Raw genomic sequence first — 2,728 nt, 5'->3', positions numbered from 1 at the left:
TTCTTATTATTACCATTTCTTAGCTGTGGATTTCCAGGTTCAGAGAGGATAAATAATTTCGCAAGGCCACATAGCTAATATCCGTCAGGAGTGTGATTCAAATATAGGTCTGCTATATGTTATTCATTAATTTTTTGCACTCTGTTAACACTGCCTCAACATATTTAAGTTCACACCAGACCAGACCTTTAGAGAAAACTAGTCTTTATGAAATTTTCTCAACCAATATTTTTGTTTCTTTCAAATTATTATTAGTAGCAGTTTATAAACCCTTCAAAGCAATTTGAGATTTTGCCCTTTCTTTTAAATAAACAAGCCAACACAGGTGATAAAGTTCTATAACAATGGGCCTCCCCCATAGCAAGCAGTCACTAACTTTTGTTTTCTTTCTAGGTAAATTCTGTTTATATAACTAATACATTAATAATCCAGTTTAAATAGCCTGCCCTGACTGCTTGAATAAGTCAAGTTTAAATTCTTCAATTAAAAGCTTTCAAACCACCAGGTTTATTTTCTTCACAGCATTTACTTCTGCTTCTAATTATGCATTTATTTGTGTGATTTTTTAAATATATATTTTATCTAGGCTGTTGGCATGAGGTGTTCTTATTTACGTTTGAGCCCTCAGTCCCTATCACAATGTCTGACAGCAAATAGGTTCTCAATGAATATTTGTTAGGTGAGTGTATGGCTAGATACATGGAAAAAAATGGATATTTAGATTAAAAAAAGAAATCAGAAAATGAATAGGTTATTTGTACCGCTGTTTTTCAGAAGCCATCATAAATGAGCTGGGATTTAATCTGGACCTTGAAAAGGAGGCAAGAGTAAGACCTCAATATACATGTTGAAAATATACAATCTTTATTATGGTTTTCATTTTTTTCCACTAAGTGCAACCAAGAAGATGCATTCTAAATTGAGCCTCAAAGCTTTCTTTTTAAACATATGTGGAAGAAGGTATTGCTATATTAAGCAATGCAGCTAATTAAAAGAGGAAATGAAAAATCGTTCTTAAATGAACCTCTCACTTCCCCTCTGGTTTCCTTTAACACTATGTATCTTTGAACTATAAAATGTTTTATTACAAATGACTTTTACTAGAAGGTTAAATTAAAACTGTATTTACCCTTTCTGTGCTTGCTTGCTTTCTTTTCTTTGTTCTTTTTTTTTTTTTTTTCTTTTTTTAGAGAGAGACGTGGAGCCTCATTCTATCATCCAAGCTGGAGTGCAGTGGCATGATCACTGCTCACAGCAGCCTTAAACTCCTGGGCTCAAGAACTCCTCCCATCTCAGCCTCCCAAGTAGCTAGGACTACTGGCATGCTTCATCATGCTTGGCTAAGTTTTTTATTTTTTGTAGAGCTATGCTCTCTCTATGTTGCCCAAATTGGTCTAGAACTCCTGGTCTCAAGTGACCCTCCAGCCTTGGCCTCTCAAAGTACTGGGATTACAGGCATGAGCCATGGTGCCCAGCTAATTTGTTTGTTTTTGTAGAGAGAGGGTCTCTCTCTGTTGCCCAGTCTGGTCTCAAACTCCTGGCCTCAAACAATCCTCCCTCGTCTGCCTCCCAAAGCACTGAGATTGCAGGTGTGAGGCACCTTGCCCAGCCCACATTTACTCTCTCTACAGACGTGCATGGTGCATTAGGAATGGCGGAAACAATTAAGTACATCTTGGTTAGAGCTAAGGTACATATTTGCTTGATTATTGTTTGGCTTACATAATGTCTGAAAAGATAATACAACTAGGGCAGCTGTTTTACTTGCTCAACATGCAAGACTCTTTGCACCACTGCCTTTCAGCAGGCCTCTTTCATAACTATATGTCCACTGCCTAGCCCTTGTAGATGTCTGAGTTTTTAATTTTTGACAGAATGTTCTCTTTTGATTACAATCAAAGAGATTATATGACTCCATCAAAGCCTTCTTTATTTGTACATCTCTTCATTTGTCCTTTTCTAAATTTTCACCCTCCCATTTACTTTTCTTATCATCCTTCAAACTTGTGCTCTAAGCTTTAATTGGCTGTTCTAGTAAATGAAACAGAAATTATTGCTTTGCTATAGCATTTTCATCATTTCATTTTAAAAGGAGACTCACCTGGGCATATCACAATATTCGCCTTGATTTTTGTCTGGAACAAAGAGACTGAAGATAGCTTTCAGACCCTCTTCATGCCAGCTTGGAGAGGATATTTACTTTGTCACTAATTGTTCATTCAAATATTCTCTTCAATGTTCTTGTTGCAATGCAGTTGTTATAAACATATTCGCACCCCTCCCTCTTCCCCTCACCAGGAATGTTCCTCTTCTGTTGGTTATGTTTTTCTCTTATCAGATAATTGAGTTTAAAGTGTATATAGTCTAGACAAATACTGCCAGATGAGACAAGATGACAAAGGAGTACATTTTAAGAAATAATGACCAGAAGAGGACATATTGTACACCACTCCACTCCTGATTGATTGCCTTCATTACATAGCTCCAGCAACACAAGAGTCACATGCACTAAGAAATCTGTATACTCAGCTCTCTTACGACTATCTTTACTTAACATTTGGAAAAATCAGCATCATTTCTAGGTGTAGGGAAGAAAACGTCCAGCTAAAATAAAGTAGATAAAAAACAAAGGTCCTTAGAAATGGGATTCAAAGGGATGCTATGAGGAAGACTTGAGTTTAAAAACAAAAAACAAACAAACAAAACAAAACAAACACATTTTGTATTT

At 36.2% G+C, this 2,728-nt stretch overlaps 1 annotated feature.

The window, feature by feature from the left end:
* Positions 953–1,122: an enhancer, noted in NCBI's record as "experimental_86555 CRE fragment used in MPRA reporter constructs". NCBI's record gives its function as "activates a minimal promoter by MPRAs in K562 erythroleukemia cells, with activity observed for both the introgressed and non-introgressed 5:57802225 variant alleles {active_cell/tissue: K562}" and the evidence as "EXISTENCE:reporter gene assay evidence [ECO:0000049][PMID:34662402]".

The sequence above is a fragment of the Homo sapiens genome, chromosome 5 (assembly GCF_000001405.40).
Source record: "Homo sapiens chromosome 5, GRCh38.p14 Primary Assembly".
NCBI classification, from domain to species: domain Eukaryota; kingdom Metazoa; phylum Chordata; class Mammalia; order Primates; family Hominidae; genus Homo; species Homo sapiens.
Note: the sequence above shows the minus strand (reverse complement) of the source record. Positions and strands in the feature narration are given on the sequence as shown.